This window comes from Homo sapiens, chromosome 11 (assembly GCF_000001405.40).
Source record: "Homo sapiens chromosome 11, GRCh38.p14 Primary Assembly".
Lineage (NCBI taxonomy): Eukaryota > Metazoa > Chordata > Mammalia > Primates > Hominidae > Homo > Homo sapiens.
The window spans coordinates 128019740-128020530 of NC_000011.10; the positions used below are offsets into that span (position 1 = coordinate 128019740).

The following is a 791-nucleotide window of genomic DNA, read 5'->3' on the forward strand; positions in this document are numbered from 1 at the left end:
ATGGATATGTGCCGTCCATTGTCCTATAACATTGTCCTAGGGAGAAGCAAAGTGCTGACTCCAGAGATAATACAAAGTAAATATGATATGTACATATTCCTTAGGACATCAGAATTCTAACATTGGGAGCAACGCAAAAGAACTTTGGGTAAATACCTCTACTATAAGGCATTATAAGAGATGTTTCGCCGGCTGGACGCGGTGGCTCACACCTGTAATGCCAGCACTTTGGGAGGCCGAGACGGACAGATCACGAGGTCAGGAGATCCAGACCATCCTAGCTAAAACGGTGAAACCCCGTCTCTACTAAAAATACAAAAAAAATTAGCCAGGCGTGGTGGCGGGCGCCTGTAGTCCCAGCTTCTGGGGAGGCTGAGGCAGGAGAATGGCATGAACCTGGGAGGCAGAGCTTGCAGTGAGCCAAGTTCACACCACTGCACTCCAGCCTGGGCGACAGAGCGAGACTCTGCCACACACACACCCACACACACACACAAAAGCGGAGTGTTTCAAAACAGAAATATTCACTAAATGTTATGTAAGCTTCAAGGAGTAATCAATTAATATCAACTGAAGTGGAAGATTAACAGAAGGTCTCTCCTAGGTGACATGAGTGGAGCCTTGAAGGAGAATAGAGTATCAGCTGGTGGAACTTACTGCAATTGCACAATGTTGAGTCCTTTGCCACTATTACTCTACAGGCCAGCTTTATAACTCCCAGGCCCAAAGGCTGACATAGGCTTGGAGTTTCAGGTCAATTGTGTGGAGAGCTTGGATACGAACCATGCTCC

General features: G+C 47.0%; 1 annotated feature.

The window, feature by feature from the left end:
- Positions 261–459: a silencer, noted in NCBI's record as "fragment chr11:127889895-127890093 (GRCh37/hg19 assembly coordinates)". NCBI's record gives its function as "represses an EF-1alpha promoter that drives an FKBP-Casp9 reporter gene in an ReSE screen in K562 erythroleukemia cells {active_cell/tissue: K562}" and the evidence as "EXISTENCE:reporter gene assay evidence [ECO:0000049][PMID:32094911]".